This window comes from Homo sapiens, chromosome X, assembly GCF_000001405.40.
Source record: "Homo sapiens chromosome X, GRCh38.p14 Primary Assembly".
Classification (NCBI taxonomy): domain Eukaryota; kingdom Metazoa; phylum Chordata; class Mammalia; order Primates; family Hominidae; genus Homo; species Homo sapiens.
This window is the reverse complement of record NC_000023.11, coordinates 24,225,339-24,248,305: the sequence shown is the minus strand read 5'-3', so window position 1 is coordinate 24,248,305 and position 22,967 is coordinate 24,225,339. Positions and strand designations below refer to the sequence as shown.

Here is a 22,967-nt window from a genome sequence, read left to right as displayed (position 1 = left end):
GGCAAGACTGAAGGCAGGGTATATGGGAACTCTCTGTACTATCTTTGCAGCTTGAACTTTCTGTACTATCTTTGCAACTTTTCTGTCAGTCCGAAACTGTTGTCTTTGGGAGGCCAAGGTTGGTGGATCACTTGAGGTCAGGACTTTGAGACCAGCCTGGCCAACATGGTGAAATCCCCATCTCTACTGAAAATACAGAAATTAGCTGGGTATAGGAGCACATGCCTGTAATCTCAGCTTCTTGGGAAGCTGAGGCAGGAGAATTGCTTGAACCCTGGAGGCAGAGGTTGCAGTGAGCCAAGATCATCCCACTGCACTCCAGCCTGGGCAACAGAGCGAGACTCCATCTCAAAAATAAAATAAACTACTCTAAAATCAAGTTTACTTTGTTAAAAAAAAGATGACCCCAAAACTTGGAAAAACAAACATACTTTTGTATAAAAAGATGACCCCAAATACTTGGAAAAACAAAATAGACCTTCTAGAAATAAAAAAACACTCAGTAAGCAAAATTGAAAATTCAGTGGATAGGTTTAACAGTAAATAACATAGAGATGAAGAAAGAATAGCCAGTTGGAAGATGGTTCAGAAAACATTATCCAGAATTTAGCATACAGACAAAAACAAAATACAAAGAGAAGCTAACATGGGAAATAATGTGAGAAGTCTAACATACATGTAGTTGGAGTTCCAGAAGGAAAAGAGAGAGCAAGAATTAGGTAGAGGCATATTTGCAAGTGACGGAAGCTGAGATAAAAGACATTGATCCGTATATTCCAGAAGCCCAATGCATCACAAATAGGACTTTCTAAAATCCATACCTAACACATCGCATCAAAACTGAAGAAAAAGTCTTCAAAAATAAAAATTTAAAAATAGTCATGAAAGATATATTACCTACAAAGAAGAAACAGTGGACTTTTTGACAAAAATAAAACATAATTTCAATGAGCACAAAGAAAAATAACAATAACAATCTATACTTAGTGAAAATGTCCTTCAAGAATAAAGGAGAAGGCCGGGCGTGTTGGCTCACACCTGTAATCCCAGCACTTCAGGAGGCCAAGGTGGGTGGATTACCTGAGGTCAGGAGTTCAAGACCAGCCTGGCCAACATGGTGAAACCCCGCCTCTACTAAAAATAGAAAAATTAGCTGGGTGTGGTGGTACCCGCCTGTAATCCCAGCTACTCGAGAGGGTGAGAAAAAATGAGAAAAAGAAGAAAACTAGACAACAGAAGTAGAACCACAGAGATTCAGATGAGGTTATTAGATTTCAATTTAAAAATTACTGTGGTTAATATGTCCAAAGACTTAAAATATTTAGGCCGGGCACGGTGGCTCACGCCTGTAATCCCAGTACTTTGGGAGGCCGAGGCAGGTGGATCACTTGAGGTCAGGAGTTTGAGACCAGCCTGGCCAACATGGTGAAACCTCCCCTCTATTAAAAACACACAAATTAGCCAGGCGTGGTGGTGCACGCATGTAGTCCCAGCTACTCGGGAGGCTGAGGCAGGAGAATCACTTAAGCCCGGGAGGCAGCGGTTGCAATGAGCTGATATCACGCCACTGCACTTCAGCCTAGGCAACAGAGGGAGACTCTATCTCAAAAAAAAAAAAAAAAAAAAAAAAAAAAAAAAAAAAAAAAAAAAAGATTTTAAGTTTGGCAAAAAATTAGAAACTAGGAAAAGAAGAACCAAATGAAAATTGAAAACAAAAAAAAATACGGTAACAGAAATTGACTTGATCAATGGGTTTAACAGTATATTATGCACAGCTAACAAAATAATTGATGAACTGGAAGATAGATGGGGAGAAAAAAATCCATGACAAAGTACAGAAGGAAAAAAAGAAGAAAACAGGGTAAGAAACATAGGTTACAATGACTAGATCTAACAAAAGGGTAATTGGAGTTCCAGCAGGAAAGAAGAGATAAGTTGGAACAAAGGCAATATTTTGGAGATAACAGCTCACAATTTTCTAAAACAAATGAAACATATGAGCCATATATTTAAGTATCAATATTAATCTAAAGCAGGATAAATACAAATAAAACCACAGCTAGGTACATCATAGTCAAATTGCTAAAAACGAAGAAACAAAATCTTAAGACACAGACACACACACACACACACAAAGGCAATTGCCTTCAAAGGAGCAATAGGACAGCTAGCTTCCCAACAGAACAAGTTTGAAGAAACTAAAATGAGATCTTCAAAATGTTGAGAGAAAATAACTGCCTATCCCAAATTATATATTAATTGGAAATAACCTTCAAAATTGAAGGTGAAATAAAAATATTTTCAGACAAAAGGCTGACAAACTTCCTTAAAGGAAATACTAAAAGGTATCCTTCAGGCAGGAAGAAGTTGATCCCAGATGAAAGTTTGTATTTGCAGGAAGGAATGAAGAGCAACTGAAATTGTAAATATGTGGGCCATTCTAAATTAATACTGACTATAAAATACAATGAAAATAATGTCTTGGGAGGCTTAATATACACAGCTATAATGGCATATAGGTCAGGAGAGGGTATAAATGAAGTGTTCTAGAGTCCTTGCATTGTCTGGGAAGTAGGCAAAAATGCCAGTTAACATTAGACTTCAACAAATCTAAAATGCATGTTGCAATCTTACAACTACAGCCCATCAGTTTTACTCCTGGGTACGTGCCCAAGAAAAATGTGTGAGCATGTGCACCAAAAGAGAAGTGTAAGAATGTTCCTAGCAGCAGTATTCGAGATAGCCCCAGATGTCGATAGAGAAAAATAAATTGTAGTAGATTCATCCAATGGAACAAAACAGAATCAGGGAGTTCCAGAAAGTCTCCATGGTTTGACAGTCTTTCCCAGCACTGCCTCTGGAATGAATAGACTTGCTTCACTCCGTTTAGGATTAAAGGATTAAAAGTTCCGGAGGAGTGAGTCACCCTCACATACTTTCGGCAACATGCTGGCACCTTGGCTCTGTTGAAGAGATTAGAGGAAGAATCTGGAAGATGTTGCCTTCAGGGGCCTCTTCATTTCTGTAGTGAGAGTTCTGCTAGATCCTCGATTTATCATTCCACCAAGATGGTGCACACCTAGGGAACTGGCCAGAGGTGATCATGCGTGCTGTCAGGAAGGATGAATGGATGTGGGTGGTACCGCCTTCCCCCACGGAATAGTCCATCCCTTTGGACATAGCTTCCCATAGATAAACTTTCCAAAATTCTGTTGCCTAAAATAATGTGATTTTTTCCTCTTACAACGGAAAGTGGACTCACATTTCCCAAAGAGAGACACACCAAAGTCTCTTCCATTTCTGCACCTACCTCCAAGATAAAGATCTTTGGATCAGACCTCTGCCTCTTCTAATTTCATCACAATTCTGTAACCTATGGTCTAAATAGCAAGTTTATCCACATTGAGGAAAAAGGAGCCAAAGAGATGAGAAATTGTTTATGAACATATATATTTGGCAAGGAAGAAAATTCGAGGATCAGCAACAGTCTTTGTGTTTGCAAGTAGCTATGAGGCTCCTGTCCTCTCTCATGCAATCCAAATTCCTCTTCCCTTGCTGGTGTGAGGTGATCCAAGCTTTACTTCCTGAGGGTCCATGCCCTTGTTAGTCCTGCCTGTTTGGGTATTCAGTGGTATTCCATTAACTGTTACCTAGGGACGCCCCCTGAGTTCCAGCCATCCTCTGTCCTACCCCCATGGTGCAACAGCAACCTATTTTGATTTTGCACTGATTGGAGGCCATCAGTCCAGCCAATGTCCTAACCCTGTTGTCATTGCCTTCACACAGTGGGTGTGAGCAAGCACTTTGTGGACTGCATAACCCCAGTGGCTCTCTTTAGATTGGTGACCTTGCTGAAAGCAGTGGCTCCTCCTCACCCCAGAGGGAGAGGCTGTCTGTGATCTCAGTTTCTCACAGTCTCCTCCAGTGCCATCAGCAATGGCAGCTCATGTTCTCAGAACTGGTATGCAACTCCCCCAAGTAGTTGGCACCAAGGCTCAAATCCAATCCCCACCCCCACACCCCCACACAGACACACACAACTCCTCTCATAGGAGCCCTGTAAAAAGGGAGAGGACCTGCCAATTAATATATGAAAAGATTGTCAGCCTCACTAATAACCAGGGGAATGCAAACTAAAACAACAAGAAATCATTTTCACCTGCCAGATTGGAAAATATGACATTTTGGCAAAGATTGGGGCAAACAGGCAATTTCATTACTGCAGGAAGTATAAATTGGCACGGTCATTTTGGTGAGCAATTTGGGAGTGTGTCTAAGTCTTTAAAATGTTCACATGATTTCCCCTCCCCTCCCCAACATTTCCTGTCTTAGGTGTCTTCCCTAGAAAAGGACACTCTGACATGGACAAGCAGGCGGTGTTCACTGTAGCATCGTGTGGAAAAAATGAAAATCTAGAAACAACCTATAAGTCATCAGTGGGAAAATAAGTTTTCATTTTTTTATAGCTAAGAATTAACTAGATCCACATGTAGCAACAGGGATTTCAAAACTGAATGAGATGGTTGAGTGGAAAAAAGTGAGTAATGAAAAAAGTGAATGATATGGAAGGAGAGTATCATTGTTGCAAAAACAAACACATGTGTTTATGTAATTTTTTTTTTTTAGGTCTGGAAAGATTTACTCCAAACTCATAACTGAGGGTGGGGACAGGTGGGGAGGAGAGGGACCTAGATTGAGTTACTGTCAAAGAGGACTCTATTTATAACGTACTTATTTTCATAAGGAGAGTGTATTCATGTTATACTCTTGCAACAGAAAATTAATGATTAAAAAAAAAAATACATGTTCCTCTGGAAAGTGTACCTAACCTTCGAACACTCATTCACATGGTATATGATCAAGATTTACCTTTTGTGACATCTTTGCAGGACTACAGACTGAGTGGCCCCAGAAGCGTCCAAAAGTTTTCCCCTGGGAACACAAGGTCTAACAGGCTAAACGAGCAAGCACAGTAGAAAGTTTTTACTGAGGCTTATGAAGCCAAATTCAAACAGGAAACTTCTAAAGCTTTTGAAAATCCATCAGAATTAGTTTGGGCCCCTGAATTAGTTACCTACTGCTGCATAACAAATTATCCTAAAACGTAATGGCTCAAAACGACACATTTCTTTTCTCACAGTTTCTATGCTGCAGGAATCAGGGTCTCTCCCAGGGCTGCAATCAGAATGTTCACCGGGGCTACTGGCTCATCTAAAGGTTTCACAAGGGAAGGATCTGTTTGCAAATTCACTCACGTGGTTGTTGGCCAGATTCCGTTTCTCACAAGCTGTTGGACTAAGGGCCTTGGTTCCCCTGAGGGCGTCAGTTTCTTGCTGGTTGTTGGCCAGAAGCTGTTCTCAGTTCCTGGCCATGTGAACCTCTGCATGGGGTGGTTGACAGCATGGTAGCTGGCTTCCTCAGAACAAGCACGCAAGAGGCATCAGAGACAGTTTGCAATCAAGACAGAAGCCACAGTCTTGGCCAGGCGTGGTAGCTCATGCCTGTAATCCCAGCACTTTGGAAAGCCGAGGTGGGCGGATCACTTGAGGACCAGAGTTTGAGACCAGCCTGGCCAACATGGCAAAACCCTGTCTTCACAAAAAAATACAAAAATGAGCTGGGAGTGGTGGCATGTGCCTATAGTCCCAGCTATTAGGGAGGATGGCTTGAGCCCGGGAGGTTGAGGCTGCAGTGAGCTGTGACCATGCCACTGCACTCCAGACTCAGCGACAGAGCACGACCATGTCTCAAAAAAAAAAAAAAAAAAAAAAAGGTCACGGTGTTTTGTAACCTAATCTCAGATGGGACATCCCATCATTTTTGTCCTATTCTGTTCATTAGAAGCAAGTCACTAGTGTAGCCCACACTCAGGGGATCCAGGTCAGAAGCTGCCTGTCATAGCCTCATGGGAATTCTGTGTTCCGTTCCAGCTGTGTTAACATGGGGCTAGTGGGAGTGGGATAGGGGGAAGGGAAGGGAGGGAATACTCGCTTCCAAAAGAGTCCTGAAAGAGAATTTCTGATGTTGTCAGAGAAAATATTAGTATATCCAGTAGGTGGCACCCATCACTGTGAACAAGGGTCCCCAGCCCCTTGAGAATAGCACCTAACACAACAAACTCTGGTAATAAAGATTTAAGCAGCCAATCAAATATTCTTGTTAATAGGGAATTTTTGCGTATTATGCAATTGTTCTTTAAAAAATTATGATTAATTTCCGTTCTGTTACCATTCTAAGTGATTTAGATGATTTTCAAATTTTCTTGCAGATTTTGACACGTATGGTGGCAAATTATAACGACATGTAAGGTTTTTGCACGCAAGCCAGGATGTTTTACTAAGAGAACAGTCATTCTACACTAAGGGTCCCTTAAGTTAGCATCACAACTGATAAATTCAACATGTGATCATTTGTGCCTAACAAAATATACTTCAAAAAAACGTGGCTGCGCCATTCACAATGTACCAATTCATAACTTTTAAACCTTTCTTCATATGGCTAAAATATCTAGGTTGTTATTAAAGATAATCTAGCAGTGCTTTTCTACCTATTGTATGTGACTTATTCGTGGATCAAAATAACTTGGTGGATTTTGATAAGTAAATTTATATCACAATATTTCTTGGTAAATGGTAAAATGTACATATCCTAAAATATATCATTGTAATCACTTTAAGTGTACAATTCTGTGGCATTATGTATATTTAAAATGTTGTTTAGATCAGATGCGGTGGCTCACGCCTGTAATCCCAGCACTTTGGGAGGCCAAGGCGGGTGGATCACCTGAGGTCAGGAGTTCAAGACCAGCCTGGCCAACATGGTGAAACCCTGTCTCTACAAAAATTAGCCAGGCACAATGGAGGGTGCCTGTAATCCCAGCTACTCAGGAGTCTGAGGTGGGAGAATCGCTTGAACCCTGGAGGCAGAGGTTGCAGTGAGCCGAGATAGCGCCACTGCACTCCAGCCTGGGCAACAGAGTAAGACTTCATCTCAAAAAAAAAAAAAAAAAAAAGTTGTTTAAATATCACCACTATCTATTTCTAGAGCTTTTTCATCATCCCAAGCAAAAACTGTAGCATAGGCAATAGTTTCCCATTCTTTCTCTCCCCAGCCCCTGGTAACCTCTATCCTTCTGCCTCTATGAATTTGCCTATTCCAGATGTTTCATATAAGTGGATAATATATTATTTGTCCTTTTACATCTGGTATGTTTCATTTAACACAACATTTTCAAGGTTCATTCATGTTGTAACATGTATCAGAACTTTAGTTCCTGTTTTCAATTCTTTGGGGTATATACCTCAGATTGGAAGTATTGGATCATATGGTAATTTTTTTTTTTTTTTTTTTTGAGACAGTCTTCACTCTGTTGCCTAGGCTGGAGTGCAGTGGCATGATCTCGGCTCACTGCAATCTCCACCTCCTGGGTTCAAGCGATTCTCCTGCCTCAGCCTCCCAAGTAGCTGGGACTACAGGTATGCACCGCCACGCTCGGCTGATTTTTGTATTTTTAGTAGAGACGCAGTTTCACCATGTTGGCCAGGCTGGTCTCGAACTCCTGACCTCAAATGATCTGCCCACCTTGGCCTCCCAAAGTGCTGGGATTACAGGTGTGAGCCAGGCCGGATCATATGGTAATTCTATGTTTAACTTTTTAAAAACCACCATACTGTTTTCCACAGCAGCTGCAACGTTTTACATTCCTACCAGCAATATACAAGGGTTCCAATTTCTCTGTATCCCCATAACACTTGTTATTTCCATTTTTTTATAATAACCATCCTGGTGGGTATGAAGTAACATCTCATTGTGGTTTTAATTTGCATTTACCTAATGACTAATGACGTTGAGCATCTTTTCATGTGCTTTTGGTCCATGTCTAAGTCTTCTTTGGAGAAATGTCTATTTAAGTCTTTTGCCCATTTAAAAATTGGGTCGTTTGCTTGTACTTGAGTTGTAGGAGTTCTTTATATTTTTTGGATATTAAACCCTCATCATATGTATGATTTTCAAAACTTTCCCCCATCTTTTCACTTTCTTGATAATGTCCCCTGAAACATGCAAGCTTTTAATTTAGATGAAGTTCAATTTATCTATTTTTTCTTTTGTTTCTTGTGCTTTTAGTGCCATATTTAGATAAATGAATGTCTTCATGAAATACAATAGAAAAATCACAATGTGGCCAGGCACAGTGTCTCATGCTTGTAATCCCAGCACTTAGGCCAAGGCGGGTGGGTCACTTGAGCTCAAGAGTTCGAGACCAGCCTGGGCAACATGGGGAAACCTTGTCTCTACAAAAAAAATATAAAAATTAGCCAGGCATGATGGTGTACACCTGTAATTCCAGCTACTCAGGAGGCTGAGGTGGCTGAGGTAGGAGGATCATTTGTGCCTGGGAGGCGGAGGCTGCAGTGAGCTATAATTATCCAACTGCACTCCAGCCTGGGCGACAGAGGAGACCCTGACTCAGAAAAAATCAGACTGGGCGCGGTGGCTCATGACTGTAATCCCTAATCCCAGCACTTTGGGAGGCCGAGGCAGGTGGATCACCTGAGGTCAGGAGTTCAAGACCAGCTTGGCCAACATGGTGAAACCGTCTCTATTAAAAATAAAAAAAATGAGCCTGGTGTAGTGGCAGGTGCCTATAGTCCCCAGCTACTCGGGAGGCTGAGGCAAGAGAGTCGCTTGAACCCGGGAGGCAGAGGCTGTAGTGAGCCGAGACTGTACCACTGCACTCCAGCCTGGGCAACAGAGTGGGACTCTATCTCAAAAAAAAAAAAAAAAAAAATTCACGATGCCTTACACATAGGGTAAACATTGTTTAATGAAACTCTTGTCTCAGTTACCTGTATCATGAATGAACATCTATGTAAAATGTATTTCTTCTTACAGGTCACAGTGAACATTTTTTGAAATTCATCAACGTGGAGTAATTCCCTGTCACATACTTAAATATTCTCCTTCTTCCTTCTACTTAAACACAGAAGCCTGTCACGGTGGGGAGCTTGCGCCCTTCCAAGGCAGCCTCCTGGCATTTAGATACAAATTTCAAATGGATCACATGCACCTAAATCCCTTCCAAATGACTGAAATCACAGGAAAAAAATTTTTTAATTATTTATGTATAATACCACTAGAAAGCCAAACACTATAAACCAAAAGATTTGAGGAACTCTTGAAGGAAAAACAGAAGGTGAGAACAAACCCAAGAGGAAACTGAGGAAGGAGACTGGAAAAATTGGGGAGCAATAGATGGAGTGTGCAGGGGTCATGGGACAATCTTCCAGGTGGTTAATTTGAAGACTACATGTGGAATATTCTCTCTCTTTCTCTCCCTCTTTCTCTCCCTTTCCCTACCCTCCCACCTCCGCCCCCGCTCAGCCCCCTCTTCGCCCCCTCTCCTCTCTCCCATTTTCTCTAAGGGCTTGTGCTTACTCTTTGCCTAAAACTGCCCCCGGGGCCACCATTCCCCAAGTGACAAAGGCAGCCCCACTCCACTCAACCCCATAATCCTCAAAACAAGCTTCTCCATCAGAGCCAGCATCCGTAGCCGCAAAAGCAGAAGATCTCACACAGCAAAAGGAGCACACAGACAAAAACCACAGGACACCTGAAGAAATCCATTGCCACGAAAGACAGGCACCAAGCTCAACCAACACAAGGAACAGCTTATGGAGAGATAGTTTTGTGTGTTTTTTTTCTTTCCACTCCACCTCAAGGAGCCTGCCACATCCCAAGTTAGGGGTGATAAGAGGGCTTTTTAAAAACGTAACTGATCACACCTGTAATCCCAGCATTTTGGGAGGCCAAGATGGGAGGATTACTTGAGGCCAGGGGTTTGAAACAGCCTGGGCTTAATATAGTGAGACCCCATCTCAAAAAAAAAAAACTAATTAAATGTTGAGAAGGAGACACGAACTCTTTCAGCATAATTAAGTTCAAAATATACACCAACAGGAAGTTCTCCTTCACAGAAATGTCTGATTGCTTTATAACTATTTCACCCACAAGTCACGGCATCACGATGAACTCTTCCACTGTCGACTTCCACCTTCAGGACCCTAAAGGTTTCTCCCCCTCACCTCTATCCAAGAGGGAAAGTGGATGGGCTACAATGTAACTGACAGTCCATGACAGAAGAGGAGACAGGAAGATGAAAGAGGATAACAGATAAAAAGACTAAGGAATATGGGGAAAGGGACAAAGATGGGAAGGAAATGGTTCAAGGAGGTCACTCTCTACTGACTGAAGGACCGGACACAGGTACATAAGATGAGTTGAATGGATAAGGGCCAACCTTCCAAGATCTTTAGACTCCATATGGCACAGAAGATGAAGGAAATAACCAACTTCGTATGTTTCCTTGGCTGAGGGTGTGGGCATGCTACACGTTTTACCTCTCTAATCACCCAGAATACTTTGCTTTTTCCCAAGTAGAAGACAAAGACAGGAAAAGGTCATGCAGGGGATAGTTCTTGACTGTCCTGTCCCTTCTCCAGCAAAGCAAGGGGCATAGGGCCTGGGTTATATTTGGAGTGCTGTAAACCATCTTTGGGGTTTAAGGTCTGATATTCAGATGGACTTCAGATTAAAAGTTGCATGCTGGCTGGGTGTCGTGGCTCACACCTGTAATCCCAACACTTTGAGAGGCTGAGGCAGGAGGATCACTTGAGCCCAGGAGTTCGAGACCAGCCTGGGAAACATGGTGAAACTCCACCTCTGTAAGCAAAATAATAAAAAATTAGCCGGGCATGGTGGTGCACACCTGTAGTCCCAGCTACTTGGGAGGCTGAGGCAGGCAGATTGCTTGAACCCAGGAGGTCAAGGCTGTGGTTAGCCGTGATCTCACCACTGCACTCTAGCCTGGGCGAAACAGTGAGACCCTGCCTTATTTTAACAAAAAAAAAAAAAAAAAACCTTTCATGCTAAACCTGAACCAGAAAACATTTTCACCATGTTTCACCAACAATGATGTCAAAAAATAGGAGCTGCCCAGCTCCAAGCCATGATAATTCTGACATTAACCCCAGATAGCCCAAGAGAGAGACATTGTGAAGTCTGGTATCAGAGTGGTACATCTGGTGAGAATATGCTGTTTGAATTGTATATACCAGAGAGAAAACCAAACATACGTGATATTATGTAAGTCTACCAAATCGAGAAAATCCATTGTCTTTTTAACACCTAATCTCAGTTGGGCGCGGTGGCTCACGCCTGTAATCCCAGCACTTTGGGAGGCCGAGGTGGGCGGATCATGAGGGCAGGAGATTGAGACCATCCTGGCTAACACGGTGAAACCCCGTCTCTACTAAAAATACAAAAAATTAGCCGGGCATGGTGGTGGGCGCCTGTAGTCCCAGCTACTCGGGAGGCTGAGGCAGGAGAATGGCGTGAACCCGGGAGGTGGAGCTTGCAGTGAGCCGAGATCGCACCACTGCACTCCAGCCTGGGCGACAGAGCGAGACTCTGTCTCAAAAAATAAATAAAAGTAAAACCTAATCTCCACCAATGACCAAATTTTTTATTTTTATTGTTTTTTTTGATGGAGTCTCACTCTGTCACTAAGGCTGGAGTGCAGTGGTGAGATCTCAGCTCACTGCAACCTCTGCCTCCTGTGTTCAAGCGATTCTCCTTCCTCAGCCTCCCAAGTAGCTGGGATTATAGGCTTGTGCCACCATGACCAGCTAATTTATTTTTTGTATTTTTAGTATAGACGGGGTTTCACCATGTTGGTCAGGCTAGTCTCAAACTCCTGACCTCAAGGTGATTCGCCCTCCTCGGCCTCCCAAAGTGCTGAGATTACAGGTGTGAGCCACACCACACCCGGTCTTATTCTTATTTATTTATTTTTATTTATTTATTTTTTTTGAGACGGAGTCTCGCTCTGTCGCCCAGGCTGGAGTGCAGTGGCACGATCTCGGCTCACTGCAAGCTCCGCCTCCCGGGTTCACACCATTCTCCTGCCTCAGCCTCCTGAGTAGCTGGGACTACAGGTGCCCGCCACCATGCCCAGCTAATTTTTTGTATTTTTAGTAGAGACGGGGTTTCACCGTGTTAGCCAGGATGATCTCGATCTCCTGACCTCGTGATCTGCCCACCTCGGCCTCCCAAAGTGCTGGGATTACAGGCTTGAGCCACTGCGCCTTGCCCCTTATTTTTATTTTTTTGAGTCATAGTATCTTTCTGTCACCCAGGCTGGAGTACAGCCGCATGATCCAGGCTCACTGCAGCCTTGACTTTCTGGGGTCAAGTGATCCTCCCACCTCAGCCTCCCAATTAGGTGGACCACAGGTGTGTACCACCACACCTGGCTAATTTTTGTATTTTTAGTAGAGATAGGGTTTCACTATGTTGCCCAGGCTGGTCTCAAAATCCTGATCTCAAGTGATCCGTCTGCCTTGGCCTCCCAAAGTGCTGGGATTACAGTTGTGAGCCACCCTTGCAAGATGGCCAGTTTCTTAAGAAATTGAAGTTGCTTCTGGATGGGGACAGGGGATCCATGACCAATATGCCTGCACTCACTCAGGGTCCTATTGGGCTCCACCAATGCTATCAGCTCCCTGGGACTTAGTAGCCTCTGTGAGGCTTGTGACAACATAGGCTTACCAGAAACAAATTAGTAAGAAGTACCTCTTAAGGTACCAGATCAGAAGGCTTGATCTGTGATTAGAGGTGCCAATGAAATAGTAAACAGGTGGAAGCCCCAAGAAGTGAACATCAATTAAGTGACTCCAGTGTGAGAGTTGTTCATGAACCTTAGGTCACCAAAATTGGTTTTGGTTTTGGTTTTGGTTTTTGAGGGCTGCTTTATACCCCTAGAGAGAATAGCAGAATGGACAACTACTGAAATTCACAGGCCCAATTTATCAGCACAGGTTGGTGAGAAAGGAGAAAGGGCACCTCTGTTTCTTCAGATTGGAACAACAATCACAGCAGGCATCTACTGGGGAAGAAGCCAGCAAGGCTAGAAGGGCCAGAGGCGCCAGGAGCAGCAGCTCTCAACCTCGGCTGCACAGAGTCATCTGGGGAGCTTTTTATACTGATGCCTGCCCTCCTCCCAAGAGATTCACCTTCAATTGGCCTGGCCTGAGTCCTGCAAAGAGGAACTTTGAAAGGATCCCAGGTGAGTCTAGCATGTAGCTAGAGCTAAGAACCTCTGATGTAGATGAAGGGCCTGTAATCCTAATTTATACTCAAGATGTATTCAGTTATCATGGACTTCATCATAATCTTCAGAATTCTCATAGTTGGTGTAGCTGATCTGAGGGAGAGGAAAAGGTTACCATATCTGTTCTCCAAAAGCAAGTTTACATGATGTATTAGTCTGTTTTCCCCTGCTGATAAAGACATACCCGAGACTGGGTAATTTATAAAGAAAAAGAGGTTTAATGGACTCACAGTTCCACAATCATGGCAGAAGGTGAAAGGCACATCTTACATGGCAGCAGACGAGAGAAATGAGAGCCAAGCAAAAGGGGTTTCCCCTTACAAAACCATCAGATCTCATAAGACTTATTCACTACCATGAGAACAGTATGGGGGAAACTGCCCCCGTGATTCAATTATCTCCAATTATGTCCCTCCGACAACACGTGGGAATTATGGGAGCTACAAATCAAGATGAGATTTGGGTGGGGACACAGCCAAACCATATCACATGATAAAGCTCAGATGGAGGATTCTGGTGGAGATCTGTGTGAGAGAAGTGATTCCAAATACAAGATGTACCCAGGATGAGCAAGATGCCAGTGCTTTGCATGAGCAAAGTCTGAAACCTGAATAGGGCCCCCCTCCCAAAAGTTCAGTTACAAGACTGTACCCACTAGTTTGCTTTCAGCTGAACAGAATGAGTTAGAAGTGGGGTAGCACAGGTCGGATGCGGTAGCTCACACCTGTAATCCCAGCACTTTGGGAGGCCGAGGCGGGCAGATCATGAGATAAGAATTTGAGACCAGCCTGACCAACATGGTGAAACCCTGCCTCTACTAAAAATACAAAAGTTAGCCAGGTGTGGTGGTGCGTGCCTGTAATCCCAGCTACTCAGGATGCTGAGGCAGAAGAATTGCTTGAATCCAGGAGGCAGAGGTTGCAGTAAGCTGAGATCATGCCACTGCACTCCAGCCTGGGCAACAGAGCAAGACTCCATCTCAAAAAAAAAAAAAAACTGGGTAGCACTGAGTTTTTGGCTACTCATAACCCTGGCATTTTGGAAACCCAGACACATGCAAAATGAAAGCTAAAGGGCTAGCTCCAAACATTGGGAGGCTCTGTGTGTCCTGGGTTTGCTTCAAGCCGCAAAGAAAGAAGGTCATGCAGCAGCAGTCTACAAACACAAAGATAACCGCTTGGTGAGCATATCCTCCTTTTCATATTATGTAGGGCAGAAACTGTGGCGTGTCTGCCACTCCCTGGCTCTGAAGTTTGTGAGAAGGAATCATGATTGAGTCAAGCTCGACCTGGCAGGACCTCCAGGATTTCAAAAAATAAGTAATTAAATTCACCCCAAAAGGAAAAGGATAAAGATTGAACTGGAAGAAAAGTTGTCTCTGGGTGCTACCATAAAATACCAGGATTCTGTTTAGAGAGACTTTCAAATACTTCCTTGGGAAAAGCCTAACAGGGACAAAAATTCACAATCTTCCCTCACTATCTTCATTTTCTAAGGGAGGAAAATTCTTCATGTTACAGCTCCTAGGTTTCCTTTGTTGTAGAGAACCCACAAGGAGAAATTAAAAAAAAAAAAGGAAATAAGGCCAGGCACGGTGGCTCATGCCTGTAGTCTCAGCACTTTGGTTGGGAGGCTGAGGCAGGCAGATCACTTGAGCCCAGGAGTTCGAGACCAGACTAGGCAACATGGCAAAAAAAGCCGGGCGTGGTGGTGCACGTCTGTATTCCCAGTGACCTGGGAGGCTGAGATGGGAGGATCGCTTGAGCCCAGGAGGCAGAGGTTGCAGTGAGCCATGATCATGCCACTACACTCCAGCCTTGGTGACAGACCCTGTCTCAAAAAAACTAGATAAGATGTTTAAGATCTATTTGAAGGTATCAGAGATTCCAAGTTGGAAAAAGATGGGCAAAAGGGAAAAAATAGAAGCTGTATGGACTAGATATTAGAGGGGACTTGGGTAGGGCTGAAAAGTGCTAGTTGGAGAGATTTTCAGAGCTCTATTGCCAGAGGTGTAGGGTATATTTGGGGAGAAGAAATATTTAAGATGTTAGGCATTAAAAATACATTTCCTCTTTGGCTCTTCTCAAGAAACAAAATGCTGCAAATTACTTGTCATGAATTTTAGCTGCTGACCTAGATTTCTTTGGATGGATGCCTTGCAATAAATGGATTACATATGGTCTTGATTTACATTAAAATTATTAGGGGTATATATGGAAAACAGAAGATGACTTAAAATCCATTATAATTAATATCTGGAGAAAGATTAAAGAGGTGATCACATTCATAAAACAAGAACTGGCTGTGAAGAAACAAACCAGTGAAAGATTAGAAAATTAAAAATTGAATATCAAAAAACTCTAGCTGGAGAAAAAATTTTTCTGAGTGATTTTTAAAAACACAGTGCAGGCTGGGCACGGTGGCTCACACCTGTAATTGCAGAACTTTGGGAGGCCGAGATGGGTGGATCACCTGAAGTTTTGGAGTTCAAGACCAACCTGACCAACATAGTGAAACCCCATCTTTACTAAATATACAAAATTAGCCAGGCATGGTGGTACATGCCTGTAATCCCAGCTACTTGGGAGGCTGAGGCAGGAGAATCACTTGAACCTGGGAGGCGGAGGTTGCAGTGAGCCAAGATCACGCCATTGCACTCCACCCTGGGCAATAAGAGCAAAACTCCATCTCAAAAAAAAAAAGTGCAAAAGGGGAACAAAAGAGACAAAGACAAAAATGTCCAAGAAAAGTTAGAAAACAAAGATCCAGATGTATCAACATTGATCTGATGAAAGTTCCAGAGAAGCTAAAGAAAAGAGAGGGGAGAAAATCATTTTTGAAATGAGATGAAAATTCCCCAGAGGTGAAAACAAGACACCAGTTTTCATATTTAAAGAGTCGCTCAAATGCAAGGAAGATCAGTTTTTAAAAATATATCTGGGTCTATCATGGGGAAATATCAGGACACCAAGAATAAAGAATAAAATTCATAAAGTTACCAAAGAGAAAAGACATACTGCTTCAAAATAAAATGGAATGAGATTATGCTTAGAATTCTCATCAGTACCTCTAAATGTAATAAGAAAGGCACTAATATAGCTGCAACTGTCAAGAGTGAGAACAGAAGAAAGACGTATTGAGACATGCATGGACTTAATATTTATCTTCTTAAACCCTTTTCAGGAATTTAGAGGATGTGTTCCAGCATGTGACTATGTAAGCCTAGAAAGAGAAAGATATAATGTTAAAGAAATAGTAAATATAACTAGGAAAATAATAAGTAATTCAAGGATAGCAGCTGCACAAATCAACCTGGAGAGAAATCAAGCCAGTTGGAACAGGGGAAGGAGGATCCCAGAGAAAAATTTTTGTGAATAAAATCCAGCCAACTAAATCCTGAATCAAAATAAACAGCTCAAAAACAGCACTGCAATGGTGAAAAGGCTGGTGGTGAACAGTGTAACCATATACATTTAGAACTACCACTAAACAACTCTGTAAATTATGACCATAGAATAGAATGCCAATTCCAAACACTTTGATGAAGTAAAATAACCAACAACAAAAAATGAAAGGTAGGTTTTCTGTTTCAGGCAGAAGTAGACTAACTTTTTGCATACCAACTCTCTCACTAAGCACAATCAGAAAAACTAGACAAGATGTTTAAGATCTATTTGAAGGTATCAGAACTAGTACAATGAGGACGTGAGAGCAAAGATAGATGAGAAACATACAAAGATGAGACCAACATTCAGTGCTGCTTTTCCATCGAGTCATCTACTGATTTAAAACACACACACACACACACACACACACAGCTGAAAGGCTGAAAAGCTGAGCAGAAAGTGATGACTCATATATACGGAGGAGCTGTGCAGTGCTTCCAACAGTCTCAAAGGGATAGGGAGGAAATTAGACTTTAGAGTCCACCAAGGAAGAGACCCTCATAAACACTCCATGCTTTCAGCTGGAATATCTGAAAGGCCAAATATTTAGAAAACTGGTGAATCAGAAGTGAATAAGCCCTCAAAAAGACTTATTCCCAGATTCAAATCAGCTCAATCCCTGAGTAGATTAAGGAGAACTGGCCCACTTTCAACTGACAGCCAGAAGCTAAAATAAAACTATAAGAAAATAACACCGTAGGCAGGGCGTGGTGGCTCACACCTGTAATCCCAGCACTTTGGGAGGCCAAGACAGGCAGATCATCTGAGGTCAGGAGTTCGAGACCAGCCTGGCCAACATGGTGAAACCCCATCTCTACTAAAAATAACAACAACAACAACAAAAAAAATTAGCCGGGCATGGTGGCATGTGCCTGTAGTCCCAGCTACTGATGAGGCTGAGGCAGGAGATAATCTGATAATTGCTTGAACCTGGGAGGCAGAGGTTGCAGTGAGCAGAGATCACACCACTGAACTCCAACCTAGGCGACAGAGCAACACTGTCTCAAAAACAAAGAAAAAACACTGTACAGGGAATCAAATTATGTCTATAATTTTTCATGTGCAATACCAAACATTCAATGAAAAACTATTAGGATGATTCTGGCCAAGATCGACTAAAAAGATTACCTTTATCCTCCCATCCAAAACAACCAAAAAGATGGTGGGGGGGGGATGAAACAATAGGTTACAAGACACTGAACATTAAAGCAACAAATAACAGTCATGGAGAGAGCTTGGAAACAAGGTAAACCCTAAAATTGCCCTGCATTACTGCCTTGAAAGAGTTTCCAGGTCACGGTGCGGGGAAGGAGAACCCTGCATAACCTAACAAACAGCCTGAGTTGAGGAGACAAACTGAGAATCTGGGGTGACAAAGCAGCTAGAATCTGCAGGAATGAGTACCAGAGAGGAGGAAACTGCAAAGACAGAGAAAACTCCAGATATCTGCAGAGGGTTCCCCTTGAGTATTCAACAGAGTACTAATCAGTCCAAGCATGTTTGGAAACTACCCAAGGCCAGGGAATGAACCAGCTGAAGAGATTAGAGGGAATGGTGCTGAGAATTTACACAGGGCCAAGTGGAAACGGACTGTTTCCACTAACGAGACTGGAAAACCTCAAAATGCACAGGGAATTTGGTAGAGTACGCAGAAGAGTCTTGGGTCAGTTGTGGGAATAATTAATCCTAAAGGATTCTGGTCCTGCCTAACAGATTTTAAAAGCAAGACCTGAAAGGATCAAACTGTTTCCAAGTAATTTAACTGTGTCCCAGAATAAAGCTCAAGAATGTTTATGGGAATAAAAATTATCAAACATTCAGCAAGGTAAAATTCATAACGTCTGGTATCCAATCCAAAATTATTAGGCACAGGTCAGGCACGCGCCTGTGGCTCATGCCTGTAATCCCAACACTTTGAGAGGCTGGGGTGGGAGGCTCGCTTGAGCCCAGGAGTTCGAGAACCAGCCTGGGCAACATAGTGAGACCTCATCTCTACCAAAAATTTTAAAAATTAGCCAGGTGTGATGGCACATGTATGTGGTCTCAGCTACTCAGGAGGCTGAGATGGGATCGCTTGTGCCTGGGAGGTCAAGACTGCAATGAGTCACGATCACGCCACTGCACTCCAGCCTGGGTGACAGAGCAAAACCTTGTCTCAAAAAAAAAAAAAAAATTACTATGCACGGAAAGAAGGAAGATACAACCCAAAATAGGGGGGTGGGTGGGGAATAAATCAATCAAAACCAACCCCTAAATGAACGGATGTTAGAATTAGTAGACAGGAACATTAAGAGTTATAACAGTATTTCATATGTTCAAAAAGTTAAGACATGGAAGATTTATTTTAAAGACCCAAATCAAACTTCAAGAGATGAGAATTACAATGTCCAAGATGAAATATACTGGCTAGAATTAATAACAGATTAATAATAGCCAAAACTTTTGCAAGATACAAACTAGAAGAAAACATTTGCAAATCATATACCCAACAAAGGATTTGTATCCAGATAATAAACTCATAACAGTAAAAAAAAAAAAAGCCTATTGAAAAGTGAGCAAAATGTATTAAACCAAAAATGATATGTGATAAGTGAGCATATGAAAAGATGCCCAACATTATTAGTCATTAGGGAAATGCACATTAAAATGGCTAAAAAAGGCCAGGTGTGGTGGCTCATGCCTGTAATCCCAGCACTTTGGGAGGTCAAGGCAGGTGGATCATCTGAGCTCAGGAGTTCGAGACCAGCCTGGGCAATATGGCGAAACCTGTCTCTAAAAAAAATACCAAAAAATTAGCCAAGCATGGTGGTGCGTGCCTGTAGACCCAGCTACTCGGGAGGCTGAGGCAGGGAGGATCACTTGAACCCAGGAGGCAGAGACCATCGTGAGCTGGATGCCACTGCACTCCAGCCTGGGCAACAGAGTGAGACCCTCTTTCAAAAAAAAAAAAAAGGCTAAAAAAGAAAAGAAAACTGACAATACCAAGTGCTGACAAGGATGCAGAACCACTGGAACTCTCATATATTTCTGATTAGAATACATATGGTACAGCTACTCTAGGAAATATTTTGACAGTTTCTTAAAAAGTTGAATATATACTTACCACACTACCCAGCCATCCCACTTCCATGTATTTACCCTGCATAAATGAAAACTTATGTGCACAAAAACCTTTACGTAAATGTTTATAGCAGCTCAAACCATAATTGTGAAAAAAAAGGAAACCCAAATGCCTTTCTTTTTTTTACTTTTTTAAAAAAATGTTTTAATTTTTCATTTTTGTGGGTACACAGTAGATGTATATATTTGTGGGGTACGTGAGATGTCTTGATACAGGCATGCAATGTGAAATAAGCACATCACGGAGAATGGGGCATCCATCCCCTCAAGACTTTATCCTTTAAGTTACAAACAACCCAATTACACTCTTTTAATTATTTTAAAATGTTCATTAAGTTATTGTTGACTACAGTCACCCTGTTGTGCAGTCAAATAGTATGTCTTATTCATTCTTTCTAACTATCTATTTTTTGTACCTATTAACCATCCCCACCTTCCTCCCAATCCCCCCACTTCCCATTCCCAGCCTCTGGTAACCATCCTTCTATTCTCTATGTCCATGAGTTCAATTGTTTTGATTTTTAGATCTTACAAATAACATGCAATGTTTGTCTTTCTGTGCCTGGATTATTTCACTTAACATTATGATCTCCAGTTCCACCCATGTTGCTGCAAATGATAGGAATTCATTCTTTTTTATGGCTGAATAGTACTCCATTGTGTATATGTACTACATTTTCTTTACCCATTCACCTGTTGATGGACACTTAGGTTACTTCCAAATCTTAGCTGTTCTGAACAGTGCTGCAACAAACGTGGGAGTGCAGATATATCTTTGATGTACGGATTTCCTTTCTTTTGGGTATATACCCAGCAGTGGGATTGCTGGATCATATGGTAGAGATCCATTGCTGGATCTCTATTTTTGGTCTTTTGAGGAACTTCCAAACTGTTCTCCATAGTGGTTGTACTAATTTATGTTCCCACCAACAGTGTATGAGGGTTCCCTTTTCTCCATGTCCTCACCCGCATGTGTTATTGCCTGTCTTTTGAATATAAGCTTTTTTTTTTTTTTTTTTTGAGATGGAGTTTCACTCTTGTTGCCCAGGCTGGAGTGCAATGGCACGATCTCGGCTCATCACAACCTCCGCCTCTGGGGTTCAAGTGATTCTCCTGCCTCAGCCTCCTGAGTAGCGGGGACTACAGGCGCCTGCCACTAAGCCCGGCTAATTTTGTATTTTTAGTAGAGACTGGGTTTCTCCATGTTGGTCAGGCTGGTCTCAAACTTCCGACCTCAGGTGATCCGCCCACCTCAGCATCCCAAAGTGCTGGGATTACAGGCGTGAGCCACCGCGCCCGGCCGAATATAAGCCATTTTAACTGAGGTGAGGTAATATCTCATTGTAGTTTTTATTTGCATTTCTCTGATGATCAGTGATATTGAGCACCTTTTCAGATGCCTGTCTGCCATTTGTATGTCGTCTTTTGAGAAATGTCTATTCAAATCTTCTGCCCATTTTTTGATAGGATTATTAGACTTTTTCCTATATAGTTGTTTGAGCTCCTTATATATTCTGGCTATTAATCCCTTGTCACATGGGTAGTTTGCAAATATTTTCTCCCATTCTGTGGGTTGTCTCTTCACTTTGCTGATTGTTTCCTTTGCTGTGCAGAAGCTTTTTATGTGACCAAATGCCTTTCAATGGGTGAATGAATAAACAATTGTGGTATAGCGTTATAATGGACTACTACTGAACAATAAGAAGGAACAGACCATTGATACATGCAACTACATAGATGAATCTTAATGACACTATGCTGAATGAAAGACACCCTCAAAGATGTATGATTTCATTGATATGACATTCTGGGAAAGGGAAAACTATAGTGATGAAGAACAGATGACTGTTTGCCAGGGCTTAGAGGTGGGATGAGGGTGTAATTACTAAGACACAGCCTAAGGGAGATTTGGGGGATGATGGAATTCCGTATCCAGTTTGTGGTAGAGGCTATATAAATCTATGCATGTGTTAAAACTCATAGAACTTTACACCAAAACAAGCATCAATTTTACTATGTGTTATCTTCTAAATACAGACCTGAACACCAAATAGGTCAATTTTACTCTTTATTATTTAAAAGTAAAATGGAAACACAATGAGATATCACAACGTACACCCTAAAATGGCTAAAATGTTTAAAAGACTGATCATAACAAGTGCTGGCGAGGATGTAGAGCAACTGCAACTCTTAACACTGCTGGTGGAATTGTAAAATGGTACAACTATGTAGGAAAGTTTGGCTATGTCTAAAATATTAAATATATACCTACCACACAAACTAGTCATTCCACCTACCCCAAAGAATTGAAAACATATGTCCACACAAATATATAAATGTTCATGGCAGTTTTATATGTAATAGCCCCAAACTGTGAACAATCCAAATGGCTATCAAGAGGTGAATGGGCAGATTGTGCTGTATCCATACAATGGAATAATACTCAGCAATTAAAAGGAATAAACTATTGATATATGCAGCAATAGAGATGAATCTCAAAATAATGGTTCTGAGTGCAGGAAACAAGACTAAGAAGGGAAAAAAAAGGAGTAGCAGAGTTAAGAGATGATATGTAGCCCATAATGAAATTACTGAACTAGAAGGCAGGTTAAAAGAAACTATCCAGAATGAAGCATGGAGAGACCTAAAACATGGAAAATATGTTTTGAAAAGTGCAAGAGACATACAGGATACAATGTGAAGGCCTAACAAATATTTCTCCCTTTTTTTCTTTTTTTGAGACAGGGTCTCACTCTGTCGCCCATGCTGGGGTGCAGTGGTGCAGTGGTGCAGTCACGGCTTACTGCAGCCTTGATTTCCCAGGCTCAAGTGATCCTTCCACCCTCATACACTGCTGATGGGAATGTAAAATCATGCAACTGTTTTGGAAAATAGTCTGGTAATTGCTAAAAATGTTAAAAGTCAAGGTACTATATGAGTCAGCAACTTCACCTCTAGGTTCATGGCCAAGAGAAGTGAAAACATGTACACACAAAAACTTGTACACAAATACTTACAGCAGCATTATTCATAATAGCCAAAAGGTGGGACAACTCAAATGTCCATCAACTGATGGAAGAATGGATAAACAAAATGTGGTATATCCATACAATGGAATATTATTTGGCCATTAAAAAGAAACAAAGTACTGAGACATGCTACAACATGGATGACACTTGAAAACATTGTGCTAAGTGAAAAAAGCCAGTCAAAAACAGCATATATTTTATGAT

The 22,967-nt window shown here is 41.9% G+C and overlaps 4 annotated features.

The window, feature by feature from the left end:
- Nucleotides 5,496-5,575: an enhancer, noted in NCBI's record as "active region_29503". NCBI's record gives its function as "activates an Ori minimal core promoter by ATAC-STARR-seq in GM12878 lymphoblastoid cells {active_cell/tissue: GM12878}" and the evidence as "EXISTENCE:reporter gene assay evidence [ECO:0000049][PMID:35858748]".
- Nucleotides 12,718-12,907: an enhancer, noted in NCBI's record as "active region_29502". NCBI's record gives its function as "activates an Ori minimal core promoter by ATAC-STARR-seq in GM12878 lymphoblastoid cells {active_cell/tissue: GM12878}" and the evidence as "EXISTENCE:reporter gene assay evidence [ECO:0000049][PMID:35858748]".
- Nucleotides 12,968-13,077: an enhancer, noted in NCBI's record as "active region_29501". NCBI's record gives its function as "activates an Ori minimal core promoter by ATAC-STARR-seq in GM12878 lymphoblastoid cells {active_cell/tissue: GM12878}" and the evidence as "EXISTENCE:reporter gene assay evidence [ECO:0000049][PMID:35858748]".
- Nucleotides 16,847-17,198: a transcriptional cis regulatory region, noted in NCBI's record as "candidate enhancer chrX.477 targeted for multiplex CRISPR interference". NCBI's record gives its function as "positively regulates SAT1 gene expression in K562 cells {active_cell/tissue: K562}" and the evidence as "EXISTENCE:mutant phenotype evidence [ECO:0000015][PMID:30612741]".